Source organism: Homo sapiens, chromosome 1 (assembly GCF_000001405.40).
Source record: "Homo sapiens chromosome 1, GRCh38.p14 Primary Assembly".
Classification (NCBI taxonomy): Eukaryota; Metazoa; Chordata; class Mammalia; order Primates; family Hominidae; genus Homo; species Homo sapiens.
The window spans coordinates 155,060,040-155,087,850 of record NC_000001.11 but is presented as its reverse complement, the minus strand read 5'-3'; the positions used below and the strand labels follow the sequence as shown (position 1 = coordinate 155,087,850).

Here is a 27,811-nt window from a genome sequence, read left to right as displayed (position 1 = left end):
ACTCCCTGCGTCATTTAATCCCTACACCAACCCTAAGAGAGAGATACCACAACCAGTTTTTCTGGTGGGATACCTGAGAATCAGAGAGGTTGAGTGATTTGCCCAAAGTCAACCAGGCCCTGCCTGGAGGCCCCTCTTGCTCTTTCCAAGCAGCGCTGCCTTTGTAATGAAGATGAGCCCCAGAACAAGATTTGAACACCTCGTTGTGACTCTTTGGCCCCAGAATTCCCTCTCCTACTCAGGCCCTGTGCCCTGTGAGGTTTAACCAGTGTAACAGAAGGGTGATGGCCCCTTGAAATCACACACACTCAGTTATTTTTATCTCCAGTTTATTTTTTTTAGACTAAGAGCAGAGTATGAAAGTCACAGCCAAAGCACTTGAAAAAGGCCCAGGAGGATAGGTGGGACCACATAGGGTGAGCAGGGCAAGGTCCTGGGAGATGGTTCCCGGCTCAGGGCTGGAAGGGAGGGGGCGTTGTTGTTTTACGGTCTCCAAAAGTGTCTGTGCGTTGCATAGGTCCTGTCTTCACAGAAGACAAAAGAGGGGCCAGGGGGTCCCCCAGGTGTGGGGGGCCTAGCCTGGTGGGGAAGGGGTCTGAAGCTGAAGGGGAAGTCAAGAAAGGTCAGGGGGTTAAAGAGGGAAGGGACTCTGTCTGTCTGTACATTATATATAGAGATATAGAGTCTGTACATGCCTGCCTGGCACCCCAATGCCCACCCCTTGCCATCCTTGTCCACTGCCCGCCCCCCCAGGGGTGTCTACTTGTAAACTTGGTTTCAATCCAAACCACAATCCTGGAAGTGGGAGTGGGGGAGGAGGACGTGCTTATTGCTGTAAACAGGGGAAGGAAGCAGCAGGCAGTGCTGCCCCTTGCCCATCTAGTCCCCTCCCCATGTTCTGCCCCTGGAGGAGAGCAATGGGGGTGCCTCCCACGCTTCGATTTGCTCTCTCTGGGGGCATATGTCTCTCTGGGGGGACAAAGGGAGAGGGCACCAGGAGTCAGGGAAAGGTACCAGGGGCCAGGGAGTCCTGAGCACTGCCCTTTTTGGCCCCCAAGTTTGGTACCAAACATTACCAGAGCCACAAGGCCGCCCGGGACCCATGGCTGTCCCCGTGCTTGGTCCACTACAGTGCCCTACGTGGGGGGAAGGGGTAGAGGGGGCGGACACAGATGTATGGTGCAGGCCCCACTTCTAGCCATGGGAGGAGGGGTCTAGGCCCACTAGGCTTCCCTTGGAGAGGCCAAAGGCTCCCTGCTCCTTCCAAGCCCCGCCCCATCTCTCCCCCCCCAGGGGAGGGGGCAGAGCTAGGAGGCCAAGAACGTCATGAGGAAGAAGGCGATGCCCACGGCCAGGGGCAGGTGTTCCCGTTTGGGGCTGGTCCCGCTGATGCTCTTCTCAAGCTTGGGCACCTGAGGGTTCTCTCCCTCAAAGTCTTCTGTGGACAGAGGAACAGACAGACTGGTGAGGGCTGGGTTGCGCGCCAGGGCAGGGGCACGCGGCAGCAGCAATGGAGCCAGGGACGTGACCACCCACAGGGTAGGAAGTATCAGTGCCCCCAGGGAAGGCATGCGAGGTGAGCAGGCACCGGGGCGGGGGGCTGCGGTTCCAGCAGTGGCCACCAGAGGGCGCTGCGCAGACTCACCCAGCACGTTGATCTTCACATTGGGGCCCATGGTGAACTGGGGGAGAGTGGGGACCGGCTTCTCCCCGGAGTGCGATGCTGCGGGGTGGGGTGCGGGTGGGGAGAGAGGAGGGGAGAGTCAGGGCCAGGATTCCCTCCCCTTGCTACGGCTGGGGAGCAAGCCCCCCTCACCTGTGCCCTCCGCCCCCACCCCCAGGAAGCCAGGGGAGCCCCAAAGCAGGGAGCTGAGGATGGGGGCGCGGCTCGGAGCCTATTCTACTCACTGGAGGCGCAGCAGACGAACACCTTCATCCTCAGACACTTCCAGTGCAGGTTGTGAGTGGGCGTGGCTGGGGAGGAGACCGGGCCTGAGTCACTTTCGCCCAATGTGTGCCTGTGCCCTCCCTCGACGGCTCTATTTCTCACCCCCTCCAAACTGTCCCCGTCGGGCGGTCTCCTTCAGGAGCTCCCCTACCCTTTGGACACGGGTCACTTTAGCTCTGCCGTCGGCCCTAGACGCCCCTTTGGTCCCACCCCTCAAGAAACTGGGATCCCTGATGTTCCAACCCCGGAATGTCCCTCACAGAAACAGCGATTCTCCGCAGCCCAAACTTGGGACTGTCACCAAACTCCTCTCTTGGCCCCACGACCTCGTCTGAGCTGAACCCCTCAGGCGTCCCGTGCCCACGCCTCCTCCCTGGTCTCAGCCGCGAGACCTGGCGCCCGCCGCGCCGGCCCCGCCCCGGAGCCTAGGGGCTCCACCCCCCGGCTGTCACTCAGACTCTCGCGTTCAGACCCGCCCGCCCGGCCGCCGTCACTCACAGATGTAGTAGTACTCGTGGCCGGCGTGGAACTCGTAGCCCAGAGAGAAGGCGCTGTAGCGCTGGAACTTCTCCGAGAACTTGATGGGGCTGTGCGGGGCGTGCGGCCGGTTGCACTCCCAGCGCTTGAAGCCCTGGCTGGCGTTGCAGGTGCGGTAGCCGTTGCGGCTCACCATGTACAGCACGTACTGCTCTGCCCCGCCTCCGGGCCCCGGTCCCGCCCCGGGGCCCACCCCCGAGCTGTTGTAGTGCGGGCAGTAAATATCCAGATAGTCGTTCACGTTCACCTGCACGGTGTAGCCCTCTCGCCGCAGGCTGTGGGGAAGAGGAAGCGGCTCAGAGAGAAGAAACCCCAGAGCAAAGCCGCTTTCCATCTGACCGCTCCGCAGCCCCTCCCCAGGGTCCGCGTAGCCTTCCGACTTTTCCTCCGAGCTTCCTCGCGGCTCAGCCCTGTCTCTGCCCCCGGGGCCCTAGTGCCGCCGCTCCCCTAAGTCTCCTTCCGTGCCCTCCTTCTTGGTCTGTCCTTCTCCTGTTGGCCACCAGAGGGTAGCAAAGGCGCAGGGAAGCCCGGCCTGCCTCCAAAGAAAAGGAGGCGAGGGAGAGGGGCGGAGGGAAGAAGGGAACGTACGCTTTGGTTGCCACAGAAACGGCGCAGGCCCCAGCGACTCTCAGACCCAGGCCCGGATTTCCTCCGTCCATCCCCCATAATTCAGCAGCCGGGAGGAGGGATGGGAGGGATGGAAGCCAAGGGTGAACGTGGGAGGGATCCCCTCCGAGGGACGCACACACCCTCCATCGCTTCTCCCACCATGCTTCCCTGCGGCTGCCAGTCCACCCCGGAGGCCAGTCCAACAGGACCTGCCCTTACAGACGCATGTATGGCGGCTTCATGCATATACATGCATAAGTTCTATGGCACACGCACAAATATGTCCACCGCCCACTCATAGGCAGCAGACACACAGAAAAGCTGGGCTGTATGTGTGCTGGCCCGCATGCCAGTATTGGTTGACCCCACCAATCTGGGGGTCTCCCCCTGCCCTCCCCATACTACAGTATCACTGGCTTCTGTACCTTGAGTCCCGTGACAGAGACCCCACCCTGAGGCCAAGGACAGTTAGGCTCCCAGGAACTTTAAACACATGAGGGCGCTAAGGGACTCAGTACCAAGACTCCACATGGCATCATGCCAACCAGCCCAAACTTCTGTCTCATTGTGCACCTCCTTCCTCAACCTGGCACAACGGCCCCCCTTAATGATGCTGGGCAGAGCAGTGGGCACAGGGCCTAGACAAGATGGCTGCGCCTCTTATTTCCCTGATCCCTCTTTGGGACAGAGAAGCAGATGCTGGGTCCCTTGTAATCCCCACCTGCCTTGCTAGTCACCATCAAAGTGTTGGTCTTAACACCCTCGATGGCAGTAGTGAGCGGTGTGGGGATGGAGAAACCTCTGAATGGAGAAAGAAACTCGGAGAGGGGGCAGGAGTTTTCCCTAATTTCTTTAGCGTAAGAATGCACATATCTTGGCAGTGCAAGGAGAGTGGTGGACACAGAAAGGCATGGGGTCCTTGGCAAAATGTCATACCACGGGGTCCCTAGTCCCTGGGAGCTCCCTGGGGGGAGAGACTGGCTCCCTATGTCACCAGGCACCACCCAGTTCCCCAAACAGTAATTAGATCCATTAAAGAAATGAGCGTGGAGGCTTCTGCACACGGTGGGGCCTTGGGGGTCCCTCCCCCCTGACCCCACTTCCTTGGCTTTGCTTGTGCTGTCCCCTCCACCAGCAACCCATTCCAAGCCTGACAGTGAGGCAGGCAGAGAGCTGATGTTTGGGTACCCCAGTAAGAATTGGCACAGCCTCCTTTGGTCATCAGGAATGCCACCAGCCCCACTCTGTTCCCATGGGATTAATGGGTCACTCAGGCCCCTCCCTTGCCCTGGCACTCAGGTGGGCAGGAGCCTCGGCCTGCGGCACTGGGAGCAGGAAAACGGGTTAGACCAGGCCTGGCTCCAAACTGCCATCCTAGGCTTGCCTGTCCGTCACCAACCCACAGTCTGTTCCTCCCCTCAGGCCTTGGGGAGGGGGCCTCCAGTGGTGAGGGTGCCAGGTCTGGAGCAGCTGCACAGCCACACTGGGATCTCTGTCTTTGAGCCTCACCCATGTTTCCAGTCCCACTCTGAAGCAGCCCCTCCCTGCTGTACCGCCCAGTTCCCCCTACAACACACCCCATTCCAGCAGGGAGGAAGCCAACACCCAAGGTATTCCTACAGGTAATTCCATTTCCTCAACAGGGCAGGACTAGCCTTATAAAAAAGGTTGCAGGGCGACCACAGGTGAAGGGAAGCCATCTGTTATGTACTCCTGCGCTGGGTGGCAGGAACAGCTCCTGAAATGCCCCCCCAAGGCTGGGCATGTGAGAGAAAGACCTGCCGGTGGGGTGGCTGGGCCCAGTTGGTACACAGAGGGCACGGGGACAAACGGGGTGAGAGCCAGGAATTCCCAGCCACAACTCTTTGGAGACCCAACGTGTCTGCTTGGCTTGGGCACTTTAATTGAATCTGTCATCCTCCCTCCTTCTCCCTAGCAGTGCGGAGAGAGAGGTGCCGCTGGGCCCACGCGAAGCTCCGCAGCTAACCCCGCCTCTAGGGCCGCGCCTCCTGCGGAAGGGTGGGGGTGGGCTGGGACCTGGGGACCGGGTTGTGCCCTGCCCCTTCGTACTGTTCTCTCTTCTTGCTCCACTTCATCCCCTATAGCCTCTCGCCTCTCTTGCAGAAAGGCGAATGCCGACACACCCCATTTGGAGGGGGTGTCCCCTCACCCCGTTATTTCGGTCTCTCCTGGCTCTCACAGCCTCTGAGGCGCATCCCGACACCTCTCTCTCGCTTTCAGTGCCCTGCCGGCCCGCGCCTGGCTCCACTTAACCCGGAGTGTCCGCGGAGGGGGCAGGCGGGCGGAGCGGGGAAGGAGCAAACTTCTCCCCCAGCCCGGGGCAATTAGGGCAGGTAAACAGGGTGTCCAACAAGACCAGGGAGTAGGGAAAGGATCCCAGGGGGCCCTGAACTTGTCAAATCCTCGCCATCCTCCACCCCCAGCCCCGGTCTTAGACGCCGGGCTGCAGAGTTACAGGGGTGGAGGACGAATGTAGACCCGGGTTCCTCTTCCCTCTAGCGCGCGCCCCCGAGGCTGCGCGCCGCCCGCTCCAGCAGGCGAGGCCGGACCACGTGTGCGCGGCGTGGGGTCCGCGCGCCCGGGCTTTGAGGGTGGTGGCGGTGGTGGCGGGAACGCTGGGGGGCGGCGGTTGCACGCTGACACCTCTGCGCCCCTCAGGCGCCCTGGGCCTCGGCGCCCCGCCCGTCCCAGTCTGGACAGCCCAGGTCTGGGCGCAAGGCTTCCCTGGGCCGCGTCGGGTGGGGGAGAATCAGCGCGCCCGACACCTCCGCCCCTCCTCCCTGCGACAGCGGCGGCGGCGGCGGCGAAGGTTTATTGATCTGCAGCGGCGGAGAGGAGCGAGAGACCTGCCGAAAGCGAGACACAGAGACGGAGTGAGGGGGAGACACACACCGACAAGGGGAGGGTGGCAGAGGCCGGATTCACTGAAAGGGGAAAGGAAGGGAGACACAGTGCGAGAGAGACGCAGAAACCGAGAGAGGCAGGGAAGAGAACGAGAACCGAGAGTCTTGGAGAACAGGAGAGACAGGCAGGCCAGAGAGGCCCACAGACGGCGGAGACGGAGACAGAGACGCAAAGGAGAGAAGCAGGGACAGGGAAGGGTGCAAGGCTGAGACTCAGAGACTGGGAGAAAACACAGAGAAAGACCATCAGGGACGTAGTAGAGCCTCAATAAATATTTGTTGAATGAATGCATGAATGAAAGAGAGATCAGCAACAGAAGCATTTCAGAGATAGGTCGAGAGACAGCTATATAGAAAGATGTTCCCGAAGCTCCTTGAGAACGGAGCAAATACCAACATCCTTGCTCAGTTCTGCAAAGAAATGAAACACAGGCCAGGGGGCATATATTTGGCCATCGGCCGTCCCAACCCCCCTCACCAAGTTCGATTCCCGGCTTAGGGGACTCCTCGACCTCATACTCTAATGCATCGCTCCAATACAGTCCCCCCATCCCTAGTTTCTGGGCCAGATTGGGAACAGGTCTCTCCTGTTCCACGGGACTAAATGGAAGTACTGAGTGGGGGGCAGAGGGCTAGGTCGCGGCCGGTGTGCAAGGCACAGTCCCCAGGTCTGTCAAAGGAGGCCGACGCACGTGACCCCCCCAGGAGGCGGGGTCGCAAGACCCTCCCCACGTGACCCCAAGGGGCAGAGACCCTCCGCACGTGACGGGAGGTGGGAGCCAGGAGCCCAGCTCACGTGACTAGGGGGAGGGGGCGCGGGAGCCTGTGGCTCGGTCGGCCCCGCCCCCAGCTCCCCGGCCCTCTCCATTCTCGGCTCCGGAGCACGTCGCTCTCACGATTTATGGGGCCGCGGCTGCCGCAGTGAGGGAGCCGGGGAGCCCGGGCGCAGCGGCAACAAAGGCCCGGGAAGCGAGGCGGGGGCGGCGGCAGCCTCCTGGCCCGGTGTGCGCCCCCTCCTACCTCTGCCGGCCCAGGCCCGCACGGAGTAGAGAGGACAGAAAGGAGGCTCCCGGAACCCGGGCTCCCCCACCCGCTCCCTGAGCTTTCACCTGCGCCCAGGTGTATGCGGGGGAGGGGAACCTGATCAACACCTCCCCCCACCAAACCTATTCCCGCATCCTCCCCGGCTCTGGCTTCCCCTAAGAACGCTGAGGTGCTCCAAGGGTGGCGGGGAACCCGGGGCCCCTCACCTGCGAGCTCTCCGTTCCCCGCCAGACTCTAGCGGGGTGGGGGGCGGACGTGTGAGTCTGGGGGAGGGGGCTGAGCTAGATAGAGCTGGAAAGTCAGCCCCCAGCGCCCCCCGGAGTTCTTGGAGTCCCGCTCCGGGGGGGAGGGGCCACGTCCCCACCCCCGAGGTTTCCATGGGAAGCGAGAGGGGGGCGTCGTTGGCTCATCCCCACCCCCAGTCTGACACTCCGGGCGCGAGGAGGGAGAGAGGGGGAGGCGCGGAGCCCCAAACAACAAAGAGCGGAGCGGCGAGCGGCAGCCCCTCCTCCGAGAGGTTGGGGGTCGCGGCCGCCCGGCCCTCCCGGTCCCCTCCCCTGGGGTCTGGCCATTTGCTCCCTGGTCGGTCGGTCCCTGGGGTGGGCAGCCAGAGGCAGTGCTGCCGCCACCGCCCGGGCAGGTGTGACAGTGACCCCCGCGTCCCCAGGGATCTCCCCCTACTAACACACAGACACACACTGATGTGGCCAGGGAGATACACACGGCGGCTTGGCGGGGAGGAGAAGACAAGGGCAGCAAGGACTGAGCAGAATGAGGACCCGGCCCCGCAGCCAGCACCCGGCCACCGCGCCACACACCCCGGGAAACCACACGGCCGCCCTGACACCCGCCCAGACCGCGGCGGCGCCAACAGCCACCCCAGCCCAGACGCAGCTGGCCGCGCGGACAGCGACCGCAGCCCCTTCCCCGACCCGCAGCCCGCTCCCACCCCCAGACGATCGCCGACGCAGACACACAAATCACACACTCAGACACACACGCACACTGACAGCCGCGCACGCCCGCTCACACTTGGAGCCATTCGCCGTCCCCAGCCCGGGCGTGTGTGTGCGTGTGTGACACACCGACATCTCTCTGCCGCCTTCCGTCTCGCCGGTACCCCACGTTCCCATCCTAACCAAGCAGCATTCCCAGGGCCCCCCAACTCAGCGACCCAGCCCTAGCTCACCCTAGCCGGGCTTATCCACACAACCAAGACAACCCATTCGCCTTCCTTCTAGGGAGGTGCTCGGTCGGACTCCCTGCCTCAGCTCTGGACCCCACTTTTAAAAGCAGGAGTCCTAGACAGAACCCCTGGAAGCCCTCATGGCCAAAAACAGGTCATCCCTGGGCCCCAAAATGCAGCGGCCTATCCCCAGCACAGCGCTACCCCCAAACCCCAGCCCAACTGGTGGGACTATGGGACAGGGGCATGCTATTCCAGCGGCGGGTGCGGAGAGAAGCCAAGATGGGGTGGGGGGCCCCTCCAGCAGCCTCCTCCACACGGCCCGAGCGCTCCTTACTATAGCCCAACAGCCTCTTCAGACACCCCCGAGTTTCCTAGACGCCCACAGAGTGCGTCCCCCTCTCCGTCCCCTCCCAGCCCCCAGCTCTGGTCTCCCAGGACTCCCACCCCGGGATCCCCCAGGACTTCTCGGGCCCACCGGCTCCCCCTCTCACTGAGACGGGACGCGCGGACTCCCAGGGTCCCCGACTCACTGCTGGTTGGAGCTGTTCCAGTACACCGCATGCCGGTTTCCCAGCGCCCCTCCGGGCCCTTGGGCCAGCAGCGGCAGCAGCGGCACGGGCACGAGCAGCAGCAGCAGCAGCAGCGGAGCCGCCGCCATCCCCGGAGCCGCCGCCGCCGCCGCCCCCCGACTGAGCCCCGCGCTCCCGGCTTCTCCGCTTCCCAGCTCCCTGCTGCCGCCGCCGTCGGCCCCCAGCCTTAGGCCACGCCCCCAGCCCTTCCCTCCGCCCTCCTGGGCGCGCCCCCGAAGCCCCGCCCCTGGCGCGCCCCCGACAGGCCCCGTCCCGCTCCGGTCGGGAGCGCGCGACGCGTGGGAGGTGGGGACCGTACTGCCCCCTCGGGAAAGACCAGCGCGTGCCTCGTCTCTCCTTCTTGAGTTCAGTTTGCTACAACTGGTCCTGGGTCTTTTGCTCCCCAGGCTGAATTTCCCAGAAGGATTTGGGAACCCAAGATAAGGATCTCGATCTCAGGGAAGCCCAATCATCTCTGGGAATGAGGGGAAGGAGAAGACTTGAGAAGAAGTTGGGGATCCAGGACCTCTTAGTAAGTAGGGCTGGACCCCTTCCCTTCTGAAAACTGTGGCCCTCTGCTGCGTCCATGCCCCCTTTTCCCGTGTGCATGAGGACTCAGGTGGGCACAGAAGGGTGGTGGAGAAGTCCTCAGCTGGCACCAAGGCTTTGACAGCTGGTGACCTGAAGCCCCCAGCTGAGCATGAGGCTTGTTTATCTTGGAGGCAGAGTAAAAGAGCTCAGCCCCTGAGAATGTCAATACTGGGAGCTGTAAGAGTCTTCAGTGGTCCAGAACCCAAGGCGCAGGAGGGGGTCAAGGAGAGAGTCAGCTGGGGCAAAGCAGGGTTCCCTGGACACCTACAAAGGATTCCTCACTGGCACTTAGGCAGGGCCCCTCCCGGGGCAGCCAGGGTTGTCCCCAGGGATTCTCACTCCTACTCTCAGAGACGCTGATCCTGAGTCAGAGGGCAGAGCACCTTGTGTTCCAGCTCTCACCACAGTCATTGTCCTCACAGTGACACCCAAGCACACACATCACACACACACATTCAGGAAAAAAGGCACAGTCACCCAAAGGCAGAGAACATAGAGACACAGGTGCCTGACACAGACATATGGACACACAGGTACACCTTCCAGACACACATAGGAAAGGGTACTATCAGACTGCTAGAGATCAGGCACAGAGACACCCAAGCACACACCTATATCCATCCACACACAACACACACACAAACCCACATGCATCCTGACACACACAGTTCCTTGCTCTCCTCTTCTCTCTTTCTAGGAAGTAGAAGTTCAGGAAAAGGGTTCAGAAACCAGACCTAGGGCTATCTGTCCCTTATCTCTTCTCTTTTGGAGAGGCCCAGACCAGGCGGAACCAGGCCTGACTGGGTTCTCAGAACGCAAGCCAACCACCTGTGTCCAGGGAGACAGGCATGCTGCTACTTTGCTTCTATCCTTCAGGAGAGGGAACATGCAGGCACCTCCCTATCTGCTTATCTGTGGCAGGACAGAGTCTTGACCACAAGTCAGCCTCAGGTGCTAGGCTGGGGGCAGGGGCGGTGCTATCCAGAATAGGTTCAGTGTCTGACTGCTGCCAGGTGAGAGTAGTCTCTGTTTTCTCTGGGCTCCTCTCCACCCCAGGAGATCTCTTCTTCCTTCTCAGGAGCCAGCAAATAAATTAGGCCCCTTGGGATGGGAGTGGGGGACTCTGCAAACAGCTCTCCCTCCCTGCAGGCTCCTCATCCCCAGAGAGATTTGTTTCACCCAAATGATGCTAACCTGCTTACTCCAGGTGCCACAAATCCCAGCCCCCTCCACTCAAATCATATTCCCTGCTCCACAAGGGCAGCTTCTCTCTGTAGGGGCCCACAGTTGGCAGAGACGCTGCTCATATTGATAGTGAACAGGAACTTGCTGGTTTGGTCTAGGACTTTAAATTCCATTTTAGAAAAGATATATCCCTGTTTATCGAATCTAGGTTCTGCTTAAGAATTTGGGCCTTTTTCTATAGGGCCTGGGTACTCTTTAGAATCTGGCACCCCCACACCCACCCTCCAATAATAACTGAGCCCTTCTCTTAGAATCCGGAGCCCTCTCTACAGGATTTAAGCAGCTCTCTCTATGGAGTCGAAGCCTCTGGTTTTGAAGTTGAGATACTCTTTATAGGGCCTAGCTAGGCCTGTGTCCGTGGGATCTAGTGCTTTGTCTACCTGGGCCTCTATCCATAGGGCTGCTAGCTGATTTGGGCCTTTGTGTGAATTAGAAAAAGGACCCTTCTTTGCAGGCTCAGTCCCTAGGGTGCATCTCTTGGCAAGTGGTGCCTTTGTGCAAAAACAAAGGTGCTGCCTCCTTCAGTGAGAGGTGGCTCTAGTGGCTCCCTGTCTTAGTGAGGGAGCTTGGGCCGATGTCCCCTTCCCCTTGGGTGGCTCCTTTGTGCCATGCACAAACTATATGACCATATATGGCAATTCTGTCTACAGGATATGTGCTTCTAGCTATAATGCCTATGTCTGTCTATAGGCCTCTATTCATAAGGTCTGGGCTTCTCTAGGGACTGAGTCCCTGTGTATAAGATCTGAGCCACTGTCCACATGCCCAGGGCCTAATCTAAAGGCCTGGGCTTCTCTCTGTGGCATGTGAGTCATGGAAGGACCCAGGCCTTATTGATGGGGTCTAGACGTTTGGGTATAAATGTAACTCAAATTGTTTCTGACTGTGATCCACCACAGTAGGATTATATTTTGCACTGCAGTTCAGTCACACACACACACACACACACACACTCATACACACACACTCATACACACACACATTTAACTGAAATAATAAGTTTCATGAAACAATACTTACCCTTACTACAGAGGATGCACGATGATATTTTCCTCTGTTCTAGTTTTAAAATTAAAAACAATAAAATAAAAAGCTGGTTGAAGCCCATAAAATTGACTTCTTGACTTTACCATCCCCACTATAGATCACAACCTATAGTGTGAAAAACTGGTGTCTAAGGCCTGGGCCCTGAACGACCTCTCTGTTGGATGAGGGCCTCTGTGGAGGTTGGAGCTCCCTCCATGGGGCTGGTCCTGTTTTCAGGGCTTCAGGCCTCCTCCTCCTTACCTGCAGGCTCTGACTCTTGGGCTTGCTAGCACACTGCTGGCTGCCAAGATCTCTCCCGGGACACTGAGCTCAGCTCCTGGGAGGACTCTGACATGGTGCCTCACTCTCCTCCATCCCTCAGGGGCCAAGGAAGCAGGGAGCTGAGCAGGTGTGGGACAGAGGGAGCTCTCAGGCTGTGTGGCCGAAGGCAGCGTCTGGGACAGTAGGTGGCAACCACAGAGCTGAGCTGTGTTCAATAAATCATGGAGGCTAGGGCCTGGGGAAGGGGGAGGTCAGGAGGGAAGCGGGGCCATGGATAAATAATTCATTAAACAAATAAACAAGGAGCCTGTGAGAGGGAAGATCAGGCACACGTGTGAGCAAGAGAGGCAGCTGCCAGCTCCAGGCATGAAATATTCACAGGTTCTGCACCTTGCACAGGGCCCGTGTGTGTGGCCCCAGCCCAGGCAGGCTGTTGGTGCCGTCCTAACCAGGAAACCTGGGTCCCAGCAAGTGTGTGTGTGTCGGCATGGCTCTGAGGATGCTCTAACGTCTGTGAGTTGACATGGAACTACATACAAGCCTGACAGCAGGGAACATAAGCACTGGTATGTGGTCCAGTTCACAGGAAATTAGGATGCAGGGCTTGGTGGGTGGCATTGGGGTGTAATCACCTCTGATTCTGGTCATGTCCTGATCCCTCTAATGAGTCCAGCAAGCCAAGAAGCCTGGAGCTCTGGGGTGTTACACTAGAGGTGTGTGTGAGTCCTCTGAATGTATTTCAAGAAAAGCTGAGAGGCAGCAGTATTGGCTTAGCAGTGAACAGCCTGGGCTTGGATTCGAATTCCAGTTCTGCCACTCGCTAACTATGCTAGTCACTCAACTTCTCTGAGACTGCTTCCTCATCTGTAAAATGGGGATAATAATGCCCCACCTCAGGGAGCTGGTAGTTAAGAGGATTAAGATCCATAATACCTGGGAAGCACTTAACACAGTGTTTAGGATCCCAGAGGCACTGGATTAATGGAGGGTTTCTTATAATTAAGAGGTTATCTACTGAGGTCTGCCCACCTAGACCAGCCCAGACTCTTTTCCATTTGTTCTCCCTCATTTCCAAGCTTTCCTAACAGCTAACATAGGGAGAGATGTGACCTAGGGCTTAGAAAGTATGCAAGGGGTAGGAAAAGATTAGATGGAATGAGAAGAGGAGGTTACAGTCAAAAAAGGAAGTCTCTATTCTTGACAGTGTGGAAGAAGGGACCTTGACCTTCTCCTCAGACCCCAGAGACTCTCCTTAAGCCTTAAAAGTCTTCCTAAATCCAGACTTTCACCAAAGTTTAGCTCTCTAGAAAGTGACTGCAATGGCCGGGTGGCTCACACCTGTAATCCCAGCACTTTGGGAGGCTGAGGCGGGAGGATCACGAGGTCAGGAGATCGAGACCATCCTGGCTAACATGGTGAAACCTCGTCTCTACTAAAAATACAAAAAATTAGCCAGGCATGGTGGCGGGTGCCTGTAGTCCCAGCTACTCGGGAGGCTGAGGCAGGAGAATGGCGTGAACCCGGGAGGCGAAGCTTGCAGTGAGCCGAGATCGTGCCACTGCACTCCAGCCTGAGCAACAGAGCGAGACTCTGTCTCAAAAATAAATAAATAAATAAATAAAAGAAAGTGGCTGCAATGCCCATGCAGTGGCTCACACTTGTAATCAATCCTAGCACTTTGGGAGGCTGAGGCAGGAGGATGACTTGAGTCCAAAAGTTTGAGGCTGCCATGAGCAATGATCACACCATTGCCCTTCAGCCTGAGCAACAGAGTGAAACCCTGTCTCTTAAAAAAGAAAGGAAGGAAGGAAGTGGCTGCAAGGAGGCAGAGAGATTGGAGCAGAGGTCTCTGAGTAGCATCATAACCACCACCCCCAACAAGTCTTCCCTGCCAGAGTTCTGGCCCCCACCCTCTGCCTAGTGGTTGAAGGCTTCCTTGACAAAAATGATTGTGTCTGGGCAAAAACCAGAAGAGTGGCACCCCAGAGTGGGTGGGGAGAATCCAGGATGGAGAGAGCCTCAGAGGGCCAGGGTGGAGTATCTGGCGGCCTCCCAGTAGGTCCCAGCATTCCCCAGCCCTCTGTGTCCCCTGGAAAGGATCCGCTCCCTGTGGGAGAGCCAGCAAACAGGTCTGAGCTGGCCTGCTCCTCCACAGACAGAAGAAGAACAGGTTGGGGGAGGGGGCCTGAGATCTTGGTGGGGAGTGGTAGCGGTAACCCCCATGTCTCCTCTGAGGAGTTAGGGACAGAGGGGACTAGAGCCTGGGCACACCCTACAAAGCCAGGGGCCCAACCCTTCACCTTCTTTGGTCAGCCTGCTGCCACTTTGGGAGCCAGGGGTCTGGGCCCCCAGGTGTGAAGATGGTGCCTGCCCACCCTTTCCCAAGGAGCCAACATCAGTCTCCACTTCCCCTCCCCTGGGCTGGGCAGGTTCAGGCCAATCTGCTGAAGAGCTTCACAGCAAACATTGATCTGTAATAAAACCACAATGTGTTTCAGGAGAAGGGATTCCAGACACAACACACATACACTAACTCACACACATACATACGGATGCAAAACATGCCGCTCTGGGAGGGCAGACACCAGCAGTCCTGAAAACACATCCAAACATAGACCCACACTGTGTCAAACCCACAGACATTATTAGTTCTACACATCCCCTCTCTGCCATATACTTTGTCCTTCAAAATCAAAGCCTTCTCTGATGACCCGTTTTCCCTGTGTTCCCATAACACTTCGTATATAGCTCTATATTAGCATTTTCACTTTGCATTATAATTACTCATTGGCCAGTCTGTCTCCTTGGGTAATCTGAAGATCCCTTAAGGGAAGCGATCTTGTCTTATGCAAGTGTGTGTCCCCAGCATCTAGTATGCAGCCTAGTATTTACTTAGTAGGAGTAGTGAGGTGCTTAATAATTGTTGAATCAAGGAACAAAAGAATAAATGCCTTCTGACAGTGGGACTCCCATTTCTAGAATCCTTCAGAAGCCCACAGTAGAAAACCGTGCATGCTACTCAGGCTTCTGACCCTGCCTTCTTTTCTCTTGGTCCCCTCACCACCACTCAGCTCTCCAGAAGCCCTCCTTTCCTTCCCTTCCCTCAGTGTGAGACCACGAATTTGAGTTCAACCTGAGGGTTGGCAGGCAAGGTAAGGGTTAATGACACCTCATTAGTGTTTAATTGGAGGAAGGAAGCTGCCTTGGCACCAGACAGGTGGGCAGGCCTGCCCCTTGCTGGAACCAGGCATCCCTAGTTCCAGCACCCCGCCAGGCATGTGGGTGATTTGGCCCTGGAGACCCTCCACCCAGCCGGGGCCAAGCAGTATAGACTAGTACTCCCCATCTGTCACCAAACATCCAGCGGGAGAACAAACTCCTTATCCTTTCTTCTGTTGCTGGCTTTGCCCCATCCGTCCCCAACAGACACTGGAGAATGGGAGAGGTGGGGTATGAAGGTGGAGAACTGAGGGACAGATTACAGAGCCACTCAGGGATAGATTCCAGAAACAGACAGGCGACAGGGCTGGGGATGTGGAGATGTCTGCCCAATTTGACCTTAAATGAAGAGAATGCAAATGAGATGCAGACGATATGCAGATGAACACAGGATCTCAGTACTGACATTCCTGGTGGCAGCAGCTCTGCACCCCAATGCTGTTGCCAATAACCAACCTACTCCTAATCTTTCTGCGTTAAGTGGTGCTGACCATTACTTTGAGAACGAAAAAGGATCTCAAGAGAGATAAGAGCTTGCTTGGGCTAGGGCTGCAGGACCTGGGAAGCTGAGCTCCACCCCAGCTTCCTCACCCCATCCCAAGCACCCACCCAAGCTGCCACAGCAGCTCAGGCAAACATTACTCTCCAGGTTGCACTCGGACGCACCGTCGGTTGCTATGGGGACCCCTTCCTCACTTCCAGACCTGAACCAATGGGCATCACCGCTGATGACCTCATGCCCCAGGCCCCGGGATTCTATTGGCTATTTGGAAGCCAGAGCGCACCCTTTTCAATGGCGTCACCGCTGGGGATCCCCCGACGACCCCAGCTAGCGTCTGGCCTACTGAAAGAAAGGCGCGCTGGAAGCTCACAATGTGCTGAGTGAATGAAAAAGGAAAGAAGGAACTAATAAAAGGGAAGAAGAAAAAGGGGGGAGGTGACAGAAAAAGAACAAAACTTCAGGGTTGAATCTGGAGAAGAAAAGGGAGATTTGAAACCCCAGAAAGTGTGGAGCAGGATTGCCCGTCGCAGAGACTCTCAGGCTCTCAAACAGGGAGACAGGGCGAGGTAAAGATGAGTGGAGTTTTCGCATCTATTCGGGAGAGACTAGGGCAGGCCCAGCAAATTGAGGGCCCCACCCTAAGCCGCCTAGCGCTACTGAGTTTAGGGGAGATCGGTGACGCCCCAAAACTTGCAGGCCTGCCCAGCCTCCTGGAACTGCGCCCTGGAACACGCCTCGACTTCTCGTGGGTAAGGCCCGGTGCCTGGAAGACCTCCCAGCGCCTGCAGCCCGTCTCGGCCCCATGAGTGGACTCAGCCCTGGCTTTCCATGGGGACGCGCCCCGGGACTGAATCAGCCGCCCGCGCATGCTATGAGGAAAGTTGTATAGGGAAGGCCGGCTGGGCCTGAGCGCCTGTGGCTGGGCGGGCCTAAGTTTAAGACTCCCCCCGCCCCCCACCAACCTCCCCAGCCCGGCTCCCGTGGTCGCTGAGGCATCCGCCCTTGCACCTGCAAGGGGCTGGGCGGCCGGCAGGGGCGTGTGTCCGTGTCAAGTGGGAGCGCCCGACAGTTAGGGCGTGCGTCTGAGTGCGGAGAAAGCTGACTGGGCCCCGCGTCTCTTTCGCACATGCGTTATCAGCGGCGCGTCCGCGCGCCAGCCCCAGCCGCGGGAGCGAGCGCGCCCGCCTGGTTCTGCGAAAAGGAGGCTGGCCTGGGGCCGCTGGGAGCCGGGTGAGACCCCCACAGTTCTCAATCCAGGGAAAGGGCTGCTAACTAGTCGCTCCCAGTCTACTCCGCCTATGGCTTCACTTGGGAGGGGCGGAGGTAGCAGTAAAGCCAGTTTCCATGGCAACGTGTAGACACCCTCCTGGATGACGGTAAAGATGGAACTTGAACACTTGAACCCAGGACCTGAAGACCTAGCCCATAGCTTCTCCTTCAGCCGACTACACCCTCCCCTTCGCGTCCCAGACCCTCGCCCCCGCTAAAGATCAAGGTTTGGGGTGAAGGCCCTGATACACGCACCTACCTACAAGAGGCATTTTCTGAAAGGTGGCCTCGAATTGGGGGAAGGGACAGACTGGAGTCCGCTCTGCCCGCGGTGCTGCCCTCCACCCAAGGCCTCAGCTAGAGCAATCGAATTAACATGAACGATGGCAGCCGAAATGGGTGCATGGTGGTGGGGGATAGGGCCCCCGCCCCCTCCGAGAGAGACCGGGATCTGACCTAGGTGTGCAAAGGGGTGGGGGAGGGGTTAGAAAACCCTAGCACCTCTGTGTCGGTCTCTGGACCTCTAGCGCCCTCCCCCCACCCCGCCGTCTCCCCCACACCCCGTAACCATGTTCACACGCTGCCTCTCGCTGCCGCAGCCGGGCCGAGCTAATCAGCACAACATCCACCTATCGATGGCTGGCTCGGTGCCAGGCGGGCCGGCACCGTGCCAGTGGAGGCTGCGGGGCACCAGGGCGGGTAAAGTACAGCTGCAGGGGAAGGGGCGCCCCTTACCCAGGCACCACCTAGGATACCATTCAGAAAGAGGGCCCCACTTGGCCTTGTGGGGATCATAGCCTCGCCTACCAGAGGTGGAAGAGACAGTGTGGGCTGAGAGCAGAGGGAGCCCTCCCTCCTCAGCCCCACCTCCTCCTCCTCCTTATAAAAGCTAAGAACAAAGAGGCCGCTGGGGACGGAGGCTTTGATCTGACCCCACCTTCCCAGTTCTAGGCCAGGCACCGCCCAGAGTGCCCTTGGGGAGGGGGAGGGATGACCAGCTCTCAGGGACCCAGGCATTCTGAAACCCAGATGCTATTAATACTACCCTTTGCTTTTGCTGGGCGCCCTGGTTGGTGCTACCAGGACTTGGGCAGGGCCCCAAGCGGATGGGCTGTCAGGAGCATCTGCCCCTCCTCAGCACAGGAAGCCGGCTGGGGAGGTGAGAGAGGGTGCCAAGCTCCACAGCTGCTGCTGGCACCCACCCCACATTGCCCAGAGGGGTGCCCACTGAGGCCTGGCATGGATGGCCTGAGCACAGCTGGCATGGAGGTCAGGCCAAGCTAAGCTGAGAGCCCAGGCCACAGGGAGTCCTGCTATCAGGGAAGTGGCCTGAGGGCAGTAGATTGGGGAGGGCAACAAAAAGATGAGTGGTTTATTGAAGGTTTGGTCTAGATACTTATAAAAATACAAACTGGCATGAAATTCAACCTCATGAAGAGTCCGTCTTCATAGAAGACAAGTGAGTGATCCCCTGGGGAGGGCAAGGTGCTGCCCCAGGGAAAAGGCCCACAGGGCACAGATGGCAGGGCTTCTTCTTTGCCCTGGTCCAGCAATCGACCTGTCCCCAGGTCTTCAGCCTGGGCCCCCAGCTGGCTTGAGGATTTGATCATACCAAATCCCAGTCCTCCTGGGGGATGGGCTGAGACCCTCAGAGCAGCCTGCAAAGCGCCTGTGTTTGTCTTGCCTCTGCTTCAGAGTGTCCAGGGCTGTCTACTGCTCTTCTTTAGCCTGTGATGAGGGGACAGGCTCCTGCAAGAGTCACCTCAGACCCTCTGATCTCCCCCATCAATGCTCCATCTTGTCGGTCTGAATTGGCACCCCCAGTGCAGGCAGCAGGGATCCCTCCTCCTCCAGGGGATCTTGGGAGGACTCTGGCTCCTTGGGATGAGAGGGAAGGTCTGCTTGGCTCACAGAATTCGCAGAAGACGAAGAATCAGAAGCAGCAGTAATAGCAAGAGACAGAGGGGGCTGGGAGTGTCCCCCCCTCGCCACCCTGATGTGCCACTCTCTCCAGGGCTCCCAACAGGATGGGCTGACTCAGACTCTGTGAGGGGGAGGGGGTAGCACTGATCAGTCCTCCCACTTTACCATCCTCCTTCCTCCCCTTCCCATTAGCAGTTCCCTCCTTTCCCATCCTCCAGGGTCTCCCAAACCAGCCACTCCCTTCCCATGATCTATGACCTCATCCTTTCTAAGCCCCAACTTCCAAGCCTCCCCAAAATTGCCAATAGAGACAACCAACTCAGCTAAGACCTTGAAGGGCCTTGCCCCTGGACACCCTGTTCTCTTGGCCCAGCTTTAAAAAGTGTACAGTATGTCGGGTGTGATGGCTCACGCCTGTAATCCTAGCACTTTGTAAGGCTGAGGCGAGTGGATCACTTGAGGCCAGGAGTTTGAGACCAGCCTGGCCAACACGGTGAAACCCTGTCTCTACTAAAAAAAAAAAAAAAAAAAAAAAAAAAAAAAAAATCAGCTGGGTGGCACACACCTGTAGTCCTAGCTACTCGGAATACTGAGGCAGGAGAATTGCTTGCACCCAGGAGGGTGAGGTTGAAGTAAGCTGAGATCGCACCACTGTACTCCAGCCCTGGGCGACAGAGCGAGAGCGAGACTCTGTCTCAAAAAAAAAAAAAAAGTGTGCAGTGAGGCCACACAAGACATGGTGGCTCACGCCTGTAATTCCAGTGCTTTGGGAGGCAGGAGGATCTCTTGAGGTCAGGAGTTCAAGACCAGCCTGGGCAACACAGGCCAGGAGTTCAAGGCCAGCCTGAGATCCCATCTCTACAAAAAATAAAAAGTAATTTAGCCAGTTGTGAGTTGTGGTGGCACATGCCTGTAATCCCAGCTACTCGGGAAGCTAAGGCAGGAGAATCGCTTGAACCCAGGAGTTTGAGGCTGCAGAGAGGTATGATCGTGCCACTGCATTCCAGCCTGGGCAACACAGCAAGACCCTGTCTCTTAAAAAAGAAGTGGGGGAGCTGGGGGTGGTGGCTCATGCCTGTAATCTCAGCACTTTGGGAGGCTGAGGTGGGCAGATCACAAGGTCAGGAGATCGAGACCATCCTGGCTAACACGGTGAAACCCCATCTCTACTAAAAATACAAAAAATTAGCCGGGTGTGGTGGCGGGTGCCTGTAGTCCCAGCTACTCCGGAGGCTGAGGCAGGAGAATGGCGTGAACCAGAGAGGCGGAGCTTGCAGTGAGCTGAGATCGAGCCACTGCACTCCAGCCTGGGCAACAGAGCGAGACTCCGTCTAAAACCAAAACAAAACAAAACAGAAGTGGGGAGAGGATGGTGCAGTAGAAGCTCCCTCAAGGCTAAATGGGGAGAAGAGACCACAGCTTGAAGCTTCACCAGGACCCCTGGAGTCTGATCCTCCTAGATTCTTCTCACTCCTTCCCTCCTTCCCAAGGCCCCACATTAGCCAGTAGGGTCCATGCTCCCAACCCACTTACTCCTCTCCTTGCAGCAGACAGACACCTGGAGCCTCAAGCACTGGCCAGAACTCTCTGGAGTGGGCACCGCTGGGTAGTGGGAAAGTGGGAAAAAGTTAGCACAGGGAGTCACCCCTTTGTATGCCTCAGACTGTTTCAGACCCTCCCAGGTTTTCTTCTCTCCAGGTCCCTGGAAAGCGTTTCCTTACTTTGGGGCCACACCCATGTATCAGGCCCCATCCAGTCCTCTCATCTCCCTGGCCCCCTTTCCTAGCTCCTCCTACTTTCTCCTTTCTAGACATTTCCCTCCTCAGTCCTGAGTTCAGCCCATACCTCAACCCGATGTACATTAGAGACCCAGCCCCCTCCTCCTTCCAGGCCTCTCCTTCCCCCTCCCTACCCTTCTGGTACACAAGAGGTGTCCAGTGTGCCCTTGGCCACTCACAGATGTAGTAGTAAGTCTCTCCAGGTAAGAACTCAAAGCCGAGGGAGAAGGGTGTGAAGCGCTGAATCTTCTCTGAGAATTGAACATGGCCAAAGGGCAGGGAGCACACCCAGCGCTTGTAGGCCCGGGGGCCCTCTGCCTGGCAGGACTCATAGCCTGGCCAGTCCACCATGTACAAAGCAAACGTCTCGGGGCCCTCAGGGGGCCCTGGGCCTTCGTAGTGGGGGCAGACAATGTCTAGGTAATCGTTGAGGCCCAGCTCCACCACGGCGTCTCCTCGAAGCAACCTGCAGGCATAACGCAGGGGTGGGCTGAGGAGTGGAGGGCACCACGCCATGGCCATGGATGCCAGAGACACCCCTTCTCAGAGGCCCCTGCCAGCCTCTCCTCCACCCATGTGCGATGGAGCAGCTCAGGAAGGCCCGAGGTTCCCAGACTGACAACTCTTGAGAGACAAAGAGAGTGCAAGAAATGGATGAGATGATCGATTCACAGGTTCCGAGAGGCTAAGACCTGCAGTGCCCATAACCACACAGCTTAGATGTGAGAAGGAGGGTCACCACACCCTGTCCTACAGGCTGGAGCTGCCACACACCTCTCTAGCTCCAGTGCCCAACACTCAATGTGGTATAGCACCAGGCTTGATCAATGTCAGGTGGATGGATGCTGTGAAGAAGCTGGGCAGAGAGGCAGGAGGTACAGTTGCACACAGTGCAGCTGCAGACACAGAGGTGGAAACAGGGGTTGGGAAAGGTCTCCTCAAACAGATATAAAGTGAGGAACACTGTCCTTTAGACTGACTTCAACCCAAGGGTGAAAAGAATGTCACGGTAAAAAAAGAATGAGGGAGGCCAGGTGTGGTGGCTCACATCTGAATCCCAGCACTTTGGGAGGCCGAGGTGGGAGGATCGCTTGAGGCCAGGAGTTCAAGACCAGCCTGGGCAACATGGTGAGACTGTCTCTACCATAAATAAATAAATAGGCTGGGCGCGGTGGCTCACGCTTGTAATCCCAGCACTTTGGGAGGCTGAGGCGGGCGGATCATGAGGTCAGGAGATCAAGACCATCCTGGCTAACACGGTGAAACCCCGTCTCTACTAAGAATATAAAAAGAAAACTAGCCGGGCGTGGTGGCGGGCACCTGTAGTCCCAGCTACTTGGGAGGTTGAGGCAGGAGAATGGCGTGAACCCGGGAGGCGGAGCTTGCAGTGAGCCGAGATTGCGCCACTGCACTCCAGCCTGGGAGACAGAGCGAGACTCCATCTCAAAAAATAAATAAATAAATAAATAAATAAATAAATAAATAAATAAATAAAGGCCATGAGTGGTGGTGCACTCCTGTAGTCCCAGCTACTTGGGAGGCTGAGGCGGGAGGATCCTTAGAGTCCGCAAGTTCCTGTAGTGAGCTATTATGCCACCGCACTACAGCCTGGGTGACAGAGCAAGACCCTGTCTCTAAATTCTAAAAATTAAAAAAAAAAAAAAAAAAAGAATGAGGGAGTGGGTGCTAGGTGCCTCCCTTTTTTGGCCAGGAGGAGCAAGTGCCAGGCATGGGGGGAGTCCACATACTACCCAGTCTTCAGTCTTCTCAGGACTCCCTTCCCCACCTCTTGGGAGCTGCCTGGGGAAGCCAGCACAGGTGGGAAGGGCTGGAAGGGGCTGCTCCCCACAGTACTGAATGCTGCATGAACCACCCCCCATACCACAAACACAGCGAAGCATGACTTAGGAAAAGCCTCCAGTGGGTGGTCCAAGGACGACCTGTATCAGTTCTGATTAGAAATGAAGATTCCTGGGCTCAGCCAGCCCAGACTTACTAGAACGCAAGCTGAGCAAGGACAGGGCCTTGGTAAGTTTTGTTCTACTGCATCCCCCGTGCCTGGAAAAGTGCCCAGCACAGGACAGTGTTCAATAAATATTTGTGGATTGAATGAATGAGCCAGAAACCTTAAGATTGGGGGGTGAGAAACCTGAATTTTTAACAGGTCCTCCAAGTGATTCAGAAGCTTTGGTCTGTGACAGAGATAGAGAATTCAGAGTCCAAGGACAACAAAAGCTCTTATCACTTGTTATTGGTATTGTAATGACCTGTCTTTATGCAGGCTCTCCTGCCTGCGCCTGTTCTCCAGAGAGTCTGTGGAATCCCAGAGGGCAGGGTCTTGATCTTCTCATCTATATAGTTAATCCCCTGCAACCTAGCACAGGGCCGGGCACACACAGTATGTGTTTAATAAATAAATGTTAGTGAGTGAAGAAATGAATAGTCACAGATTGTCTCAAGTAGAAAATCAGAAAGAAAAACAGATAGGAAATAGGAGAGGCAGGGAGACTTGGGGAGGGGGATGGAAACAGTAAAATATACTAAGGTTCAAAGGCAGGCAGCTCAGGAGAGAGAAAGAAATAATAGTTTATATCTGTACAGCCTGAGCCTCTTTCACATACATGACCTCACTTACCCTGCCAGACTTCCCAGGGTACTAGGTATTATTAGCCCATTATACAGGTGAGATAAATGAGGTTAGGAAGGTCACGAGACTTGCCCAGAGGTGATTCGGCTAGAAGGGCAGGGCTGACACTGGAAAGAAACAGAAGGACCAATAAAGACAGAGATGAAAGCAGAGATAGCAAATGAGATCAGGAGACAGAGTGAGAGCCAGAGGTGAGACCCAGCGGGCAGGAGAGTAACCCACGCTCTTTCATAAGAGTAAAGCCCCCTCCCTCGCTCTCAAGTTCGTCAGCCACAGCTCCAGCCTGCGGGAGGCTGGGGATCGCCAGGAGAGCAGCGAGGGGGGCGGAGCCCGGAGTGCGGGCAAAGGCCCCCCCAGCTCCATGCTCCAAGACCCCCTAGACAACCCTTGGGGCTGGGGTCTTCTGCCTGCCCCCCAACACATGCGGGCTGTGGGGAGACCCAGGGCGCGCCTCGCCCCTCGCCCCTCCCCCCTCCCCCGCCGGCTCAAACAAAGGAGCCCCGGCGCGCGGCCAGGCTCAGGCGGCGCCGCGCAAAGAGCGGGTGGCGGGCGCGCGCAAAGCCCGGGAGCGCGCAGACTTGGCTGTGCGCTCGCCCGGTTCGGCCCGGCTACCTGGGGTTACTGGAGTTCCAGTAGACTACGTGGCGGAGGCTGGAGCCCCCGCGCAGAGGGGAGCCGAGGAACGCGGCCCAGAGGACAGTCCGCAGCAGGGGCAGCAGCCGCATCGCCCCCGAGGTCCGGTTTGGTCTGGCCTGGCAGGTCCCGGCCCGCTTCACAGTCGAGGAGAGAAAGGTACAAAGTGAAGAGGGAAGTTGCGGAAAGGGGAGTGGGGTACGGAGATTCACTGACCCCGCCCCTGAATAACTTTCCGCCAATGGGAGCGCGTCTCCTCCTCTCCACCCAGCGCCAACTCCAGTTAACCCTCTGTGCACCGCAGCGCGCGCCAGGTTCGCCAAAGCTTCCACTGAGGCTGCACCGCACTGCGAGGGGGCGGGAAGGAAGGACGTATTCCAACAGCAGTATTTTTAGGGAGGTCATCTCTTTCGTGTCTGCTTTAGTGCAGGGTAGACTGCCTTATTAGAAGTTTGGAAGATTTTAAATAAGGGTACATAACCTTTGCCCAGATAGGGGAAAGTGAGGCGCGGGCGAGGATCCATGAAGCCTGTCCAACCACCTTCATGCACTGCCCCGTTTTCTTTGCACATCTAGGGACAGTGCAAGCGGAAGGGACAACACAGCTCTGGGACCACCTTCCCTAAAGAGCCTTAGGTGGCGCGCTAGATGCTCACTTTAGGATTGGCGTCTGTCCCTTGCCGCTCCACACCTTCGTTCCGGGCTGGGGGCCCACGCGGCCCCAGTCCCTAAGACGAAGTAATGAGGTGGTTGCGGCCTGTACAAAGCACCTTTGTTCCCGATCCCTCAGGTGGCGGCGGCGGAGGGGGAGGAGGCAGGTGCGCGGCCTTGGGATCGTGGGAGCAGCCGCCGCCCCGCTCCGCCCTGGCTCCTGGGCTCTGGGAGCATCAGCCAGATCCACTTTTCCCAGCCAATGGTCAGAGTGGGGACGGCAGGTCCAACAGCTTGACAGATTGCGCCGAAAGCCACCCCAGTCTGGGCAGAGGGAAGCTGCGAGCATCCCGGGGACACACGCCGACCCTTTCTGGTACTCCCGCCCCACACAGCCCGCCCTCGTCTGAGGCGGCAGCGTCTTCTGGCGGCCAAACCTGGAACCGCAGCAGGAGCGACCCGGGTTCTAGAAGCAGACAAACTCTGGGGAACGCTCCCAAGATGTCACGTTTATTGCAACTGAGCAGAGACAGGCTGTGCGGACCTTCCTCAATCCCGTCCAACCCCCAGCCCCTCCCCAAGCCCCCGCTGCAACTACGCCGGCAGGTCCGCAGAGTGTTGCTTGACAGCGCGTGGCGGTGCCCGGAGTCTTAAGACACCGCCAGTCTCTGGCGCCTTCAGTCATGGTAGGGGACTCCAGAGGGCACGCCCGCCTCTTGAAGCCCTAAGTCCGGCTTGGAGGCAGCGGAACCTCCGGAGAGGTCAGAGGTAGAGCGAGGACACTGTCGGAGGCGGTGGCGCTGGTCTGGATTGCGGGAAGCCAAGAAAAAAGAGTCAGAGGCCCCTTTCCCCCAGGTCACTCGCCCCGCCCACCCATGCCCAGGGCTCCTCCTACCTGGAGGGTACCACTAGGGGCGGGATTCCAGCCCCTGGGCCGGGCAGGTCACCCGATGGGCACCGGCCCTGGGGGTCGGCAGGCAGTGGCTTCCTTGGGGGTGGGGGCTTGGCTGGCCCCTGAGACTGAGGGAGAGAAGGCAGGAGGCCGGCTTAGGTGGGGGGGTGTCATGTTGCCCACCCCCAACGCACTGGTGCTGGGGAACACCAGCTTGGGGGCAGCACCAGCGGTCACCCTTGTCTGCAAACAAACCTGTCACCATTAAAGGCACCACCGGGATATGTGCCCTCATGCACTGAGGGGGCATCTCGCCACGGCCACCACCGTCATGGCTACCAGCACCACAGCCCTAGGTGGGGGGAGAGGCCGTGCCCTTCTCTCCCCCCACCGTTACCTTCGGGCTTCTCACCACCGGGTCAGCGGGCAGAGGGCGGGTAGGGGGATTGGGTCGGTCAGCCAGCTCAGCCTGAACAGAGAGAGGGGCAGTGGCTGTGAGAGCATAACCAGGGGCTGTGGACATGCACAGAGATTCCCCAGAGGGGTTCAAGTCAACATGCAAAGTCAGCCAGGGGGCAGGAGAGAATGAGGGCATGCGCAGAGGGCTTGGAGGCATGCCAGCTGATGTCTCAGGGGAGGAAGGTGTAGGTCAACCGCAGTCCCTGGCCGACTGCAGTCCCGCCATTGACCACCAGATGGTGGTAGAAACCAAGGCAGGAGGCTCACCCTTTGCTGCTTCTGGGGCTCAGAGTGTCTGAAGGCTGAGGGGCACCCCGATCACCTAATGAAGAGCACCACTGGCAGGGAGCAGGGATGAGAACTGCAGTTGGGTACCAAGCCTCCCACCTGCCTTGGCTCAGGGCGGGCCCTGGCCCAGATTTACCTGGAGTCTCTTGGACACAGGGTCAGGCGGCAGCGGCCTGGAAGGGGGGGCCGGGAAGCTGAGAGCACTAGCCTGCTGAGAGGGCAGGAGGGGCAGATAGGCACAGAGGGGGAAGAGGAAGCAGAGAGACAGAGTGGGCAGGGAAGGGTCAGTGCCCAGGGGGGGCCAGCAGGGGCCCAGGGCAGTGGGTGCTGTGCATGCAGTTATGCAGGTGCATGCAGGTGGGGAGCGAGTGGGGAGGAGGTGTGCACACACTCCCATCATCCAAGCAGAGGGCTCAGGGTGGGGATGCTCACCAGCCCTTCTAACATGGTGACCTGGGCCTACGGAAGGCCATTCTGAGCACCACTGCCCTTGTGCCCTCCTGGGGTCACTGCTGGGGGCATGGATAGATCCACCTCTCAAAGCCACCTCTTGGCCAGCGGACGGAGCCCAGCAGCTCCTGCTCCAGCTGGCTGCCCTCCCCACTCTTCTGGACTCAGCTTCCCTGCCTGTAGCCAGGGGAGGGGAGGGCAGGGCTGGCCCTGACTCCTTCGACTGACTCTTGGGCAGTGCTAGCCTTTCTCTGAGTCTGGAGCCTTTAATGCGCACCCCCCAGGGCCCAAGCTGGATGCCCGGCCAAGGTGGAGTCCCCTTCCTCTGGCATCCAGGACTCACCTTAGTGCCTCGTGCCAGCAGGGCCCTCTGCGGAGGTCCTGGCCGTTCAGAGGGACCAGATTGGGCTGCCCTATGCATGAGGAAAGGCAAGAAGGGAGAGGGCCCAGCCTCAGACCCTGTTTTCTACCATATGCCATCCCTGAGTGGGGTTAACCCTTTGCAGGCACTTATGTGTGGTTTAGGTAAAATTGTGGTAGGGCCGGGGTGGGGGGCAGTATTTATTAGCTTGAGGGAAGACCCTACTTATCCAGCACAGGGGCTCCTGGGGAGAAATGGCCCTAGCAATCCAGCCACCCCACAGGGGCACAGCTGTGAGGTAAAAAGCTGTGGGCACATATAGGGAAGGGAGGTGTGGGGTATGGCAGTCAGCAACTTTAAGGTCCAAGGGGCCTGGGGCTCAGAACCAGGTGGCAGGGGCTGCAGAGGTGAGGCAGCCTTCAGCACTGTCCCCAGTTGAAGGAAGTGGTAGCAGGGAGGTGATGCTCATACCTGTACTGGCAGGTGGGTCCCTTGAGCTGGCAGAGTCGCTGGTGCAGGCGGGCACGGTACCAGTAGCTGGCACCAAGCATCACCAGGACCAATAAGACCAGGAGGCTGAGGAGCAGCCCTGTGGTCAGGGAGCTGGTTGCTGTGGGCGGAAGTCAGGTTTAAGGGAGGACGGGGCTAAGAACTCTAGATCCATGAAGGCGCAGGGGGCAGGGAGTGAAGTCAAGTGATCAGGGAGAGTGAAGGGTTCAAGGGGCACAGACTCAGGGAACCAGCAGCAAAGGGGGGTCAGAAAGAGAGGGCCGAG

The 27,811-nt window shown here is 58.1% G+C and overlaps 4 protein-coding genes and 2 long non-coding RNA genes across 19 annotated transcripts in view, besides 17 other annotated features; 1 reads left to right on the top strand and 5 right to left on the bottom strand.

Moving 5' to 3' along the window:
* Positions 1-312: 312 nt before the first annotated feature.
* On the bottom strand, positions 313-9,014 carry EFNA3 (ephrin A3). Its single transcript, NM_004952.5, has 5 exons — positions 8,782-9,014; positions 2,447-2,760; positions 1,909-1,974; positions 1,646-1,723; positions 313-1,438 (listed from the first exon to the last, which is right to left on the bottom strand). Exons 1-5 carry the CDS (start codon positions 8,907-8,909, stop codon positions 1,308-1,310), a joined length of 717 nt encoding a protein of 238 aa, NP_004943.1. The 5' UTR covers positions 8,910-9,014; the 3' UTR covers positions 313-1,307.
* Positions 313-24,111, bottom strand: EFNA4-EFNA3 (EFNA4-EFNA3 readthrough). Its single transcript, NM_001407761.1, has 5 exons — positions 23,915-24,111; positions 2,447-2,760; positions 1,909-1,974; positions 1,646-1,723; positions 313-1,438 (listed from the first exon to the last, which is right to left on the bottom strand). The coding sequence occupies exons 1-5, from the start codon at positions 24,025-24,027 to the stop codon at positions 1,308-1,310; spliced, it is 702 nt and encodes a 233-aa protein (NP_001394690.1). The 5' UTR covers positions 24,028-24,111; the 3' UTR covers positions 313-1,307.
* Positions 1,841-1,890: a silencer, noted in NCBI's record as "silent region_1392". NCBI's record gives its function as "represses an Ori minimal core promoter by ATAC-STARR-seq in GM12878 lymphoblastoid cells {active_cell/tissue: GM12878}" and the evidence as "EXISTENCE:reporter gene assay evidence [ECO:0000049][PMID:35858748]".
* Positions 1,875-2,043: a silencer, noted in NCBI's record as "fragment chr1:155058284-155058452 (GRCh37/hg19 assembly coordinates)". NCBI's record gives its function as "represses an EF-1alpha promoter that drives an FKBP-Casp9 reporter gene in an ReSE screen in K562 erythroleukemia cells {active_cell/tissue: K562}" and the evidence as "EXISTENCE:reporter gene assay evidence [ECO:0000049][PMID:32094911]".
* Positions 2,241-2,440: a silencer, noted in NCBI's record as "silent region_1391". NCBI's record gives its function as "represses an Ori minimal core promoter by ATAC-STARR-seq in GM12878 lymphoblastoid cells {active_cell/tissue: GM12878}" and the evidence as "EXISTENCE:reporter gene assay evidence [ECO:0000049][PMID:35858748]".
* Positions 2,641-2,740: a silencer, noted in NCBI's record as "silent region_1390". NCBI's record gives its function as "represses an Ori minimal core promoter by ATAC-STARR-seq in GM12878 lymphoblastoid cells {active_cell/tissue: GM12878}" and the evidence as "EXISTENCE:reporter gene assay evidence [ECO:0000049][PMID:35858748]".
* Positions 3,241-3,540: an enhancer, noted in NCBI's record as "active region_1805". NCBI's record gives its function as "activates an Ori minimal core promoter by ATAC-STARR-seq in GM12878 lymphoblastoid cells {active_cell/tissue: GM12878}" and the evidence as "EXISTENCE:reporter gene assay evidence [ECO:0000049][PMID:35858748]".
* Positions 5,812-5,891: an enhancer, noted in NCBI's record as "active region_1804". NCBI's record gives its function as "activates an Ori minimal core promoter by ATAC-STARR-seq in GM12878 lymphoblastoid cells {active_cell/tissue: GM12878}" and the evidence as "EXISTENCE:reporter gene assay evidence [ECO:0000049][PMID:35858748]".
* Positions 6,810-6,879: a silencer, noted in NCBI's record as "silent region_1389". NCBI's record gives its function as "represses an Ori minimal core promoter by ATAC-STARR-seq in GM12878 lymphoblastoid cells {active_cell/tissue: GM12878}" and the evidence as "EXISTENCE:reporter gene assay evidence [ECO:0000049][PMID:35858748]".
* Positions 8,756-8,905: a silencer, noted in NCBI's record as "silent region_1388". NCBI's record gives its function as "represses an Ori minimal core promoter by ATAC-STARR-seq in GM12878 lymphoblastoid cells {active_cell/tissue: GM12878}" and the evidence as "EXISTENCE:reporter gene assay evidence [ECO:0000049][PMID:35858748]".
* Positions 8,936-9,095: a silencer, noted in NCBI's record as "silent region_1387". NCBI's record gives its function as "represses an Ori minimal core promoter by ATAC-STARR-seq in GM12878 lymphoblastoid cells {active_cell/tissue: GM12878}" and the evidence as "EXISTENCE:reporter gene assay evidence [ECO:0000049][PMID:35858748]".
* Positions 15,771-16,283: an enhancer, noted in NCBI's record as "H3K4me1 hESC enhancer chr1:155044044-155044556 (GRCh37/hg19 assembly coordinates)". NCBI's record gives its function as "activates a minimal SCP1, AML or CMV promoter by ChIP-STARR-seq in naive H9 embryonic stem cells {active_cell/tissue: H9 hESC(naive)}" and the evidence as "EXISTENCE:reporter gene assay evidence [ECO:0000049][PMID:30033119]".
* Positions 16,359-16,438: an enhancer, noted in NCBI's record as "active region_1803". NCBI's record gives its function as "activates an Ori minimal core promoter by ATAC-STARR-seq in GM12878 lymphoblastoid cells {active_cell/tissue: GM12878}" and the evidence as "EXISTENCE:reporter gene assay evidence [ECO:0000049][PMID:35858748]".
* Positions 16,798-17,310: an enhancer, noted in NCBI's record as "H3K4me1 hESC enhancer chr1:155043017-155043529 (GRCh37/hg19 assembly coordinates)". NCBI's record gives its function as "activates a minimal SCP1, AML or CMV promoter by ChIP-STARR-seq in naive H9 embryonic stem cells {active_cell/tissue: H9 hESC(naive)}" and the evidence as "EXISTENCE:reporter gene assay evidence [ECO:0000049][PMID:30033119]".
* Positions 17,824-18,336: an enhancer, noted in NCBI's record as "H3K4me1 hESC enhancer chr1:155041991-155042503 (GRCh37/hg19 assembly coordinates)". NCBI's record gives its function as "activates a minimal SCP1, AML or CMV promoter by ChIP-STARR-seq in primed H9 embryonic stem cells {active_cell/tissue: H9 hESC(primed)}" and the evidence as "EXISTENCE:reporter gene assay evidence [ECO:0000049][PMID:30033119]".
* On the bottom strand, positions 18,298-24,111 carry EFNA4 (ephrin A4). 4 transcript variants are annotated; one of them, NM_001406810.1, is made up of 5 exons: positions 23,915-24,111; positions 23,291-23,409; positions 20,835-21,121; positions 20,411-20,479; positions 18,298-18,832 (listed from the first exon to the last, which is right to left on the bottom strand). In NM_001406810.1, exons 3-5 carry the CDS (start codon positions 21,004-21,006, stop codon positions 18,678-18,680), a joined length of 396 nt encoding a protein of 131 aa, NP_001393739.1. In that variant the 5' UTR covers positions 21,007-21,121; positions 23,291-23,409; positions 23,915-24,111; the 3' UTR covers positions 18,298-18,677. The 4 variants fall into 4 exon arrangements, with proteins under 4 accessions (NP_001393739.1, NP_005218.1, NP_872632.2 ...); NM_005227.3 differs by lacking the exon at positions 23,291-23,409 and having other exon boundaries at positions 18,298-18,998; NM_182690.3 differs by lacking the exon at positions 23,291-23,409 and having other exon boundaries at positions 18,298-18,852.
* Positions 18,298-27,811, bottom strand: part of ADAM15-EFNA4 (ADAM15-EFNA4 readthrough) — an 18,238-nt gene continuing 8,724 nt past the window's right edge. Inside the window, exons 18-26 of the long non-coding RNA NR_176418.1 lie at positions 27,508-27,646; positions 27,019-27,088; positions 25,482-25,606; positions 24,592-25,391; positions 23,915-24,072; positions 23,291-23,409; positions 20,835-21,121; positions 20,411-20,479; positions 18,298-18,998 (exon numbers count right to left, since the gene is read on the bottom strand). This is a non-coding gene — a long non-coding RNA (ADAM15-EFNA4 readthrough). The remainder of the gene's footprint in view (positions 18,999-20,410; positions 20,480-20,834; positions 21,122-23,290; positions 23,410-23,914; positions 24,073-24,591; positions 25,392-25,481; positions 25,607-27,018; positions 27,089-27,507; positions 27,647-27,811) is intronic.
* Positions 22,659-23,160: an enhancer, noted in NCBI's record as "NANOG hESC enhancer chr1:155037167-155037668 (GRCh37/hg19 assembly coordinates)". NCBI's record gives its function as "activates a minimal SCP1, AML or CMV promoter by ChIP-STARR-seq in naive H9 embryonic stem cells {active_cell/tissue: H9 hESC(naive)}" and the evidence as "EXISTENCE:reporter gene assay evidence [ECO:0000049][PMID:30033119]".
* Positions 23,651-23,800: a silencer, noted in NCBI's record as "silent region_1386". NCBI's record gives its function as "represses an Ori minimal core promoter by ATAC-STARR-seq in GM12878 lymphoblastoid cells {active_cell/tissue: GM12878}" and the evidence as "EXISTENCE:reporter gene assay evidence [ECO:0000049][PMID:35858748]".
* Positions 23,860-27,811, top strand: part of DCST1-AS1 (DCST1 antisense RNA 1) — an 18,801-nt gene continuing 14,849 nt past the window's right edge. The window contains exon 1 of the long non-coding RNA NR_040773.1: positions 23,860-24,094. This is a non-coding gene — a long non-coding RNA (DCST1 antisense RNA 1). The remainder of the gene's footprint in view (positions 24,095-27,811) is intronic.
* Positions 24,091-24,240: a silencer, noted in NCBI's record as "silent region_1385". NCBI's record gives its function as "represses an Ori minimal core promoter by ATAC-STARR-seq in GM12878 lymphoblastoid cells {active_cell/tissue: GM12878}" and the evidence as "EXISTENCE:reporter gene assay evidence [ECO:0000049][PMID:35858748]".
* Positions 24,621-24,710: a silencer, noted in NCBI's record as "silent region_1384". NCBI's record gives its function as "represses an Ori minimal core promoter by ATAC-STARR-seq in GM12878 lymphoblastoid cells {active_cell/tissue: GM12878}" and the evidence as "EXISTENCE:reporter gene assay evidence [ECO:0000049][PMID:35858748]".
* Positions 25,076-27,811, bottom strand: part of ADAM15 (ADAM metallopeptidase domain 15) — an 11,460-nt gene continuing 8,724 nt past the window's right edge. For 2 of the 11 annotated variants that reach the window (NM_001261464.2, NM_003815.5), the window contains exons 18-21: positions 27,508-27,646; positions 27,019-27,088; positions 25,482-25,606; positions 25,076-25,391 (exon numbers count right to left, since the gene is read on the bottom strand). In NM_001261464.2, coding sequence (NP_001248393.1) covers positions 25,349-25,391; positions 25,482-25,606; positions 27,019-27,088; positions 27,508-27,646 — 377 coding nt within the window. In that variant the 3' untranslated portion in view covers positions 25,076-25,348. Of the gene's footprint in view, positions 25,392-25,481; positions 25,607-25,733; positions 25,948-26,361; positions 26,437-27,018; positions 27,089-27,507; positions 27,647-27,811 lie in introns of all 11 variants that reach the window. The other 9 variants (NR_048578.2, NR_048577.2, NM_207197.3 and 6 more) reach the window with 9 other exon arrangements.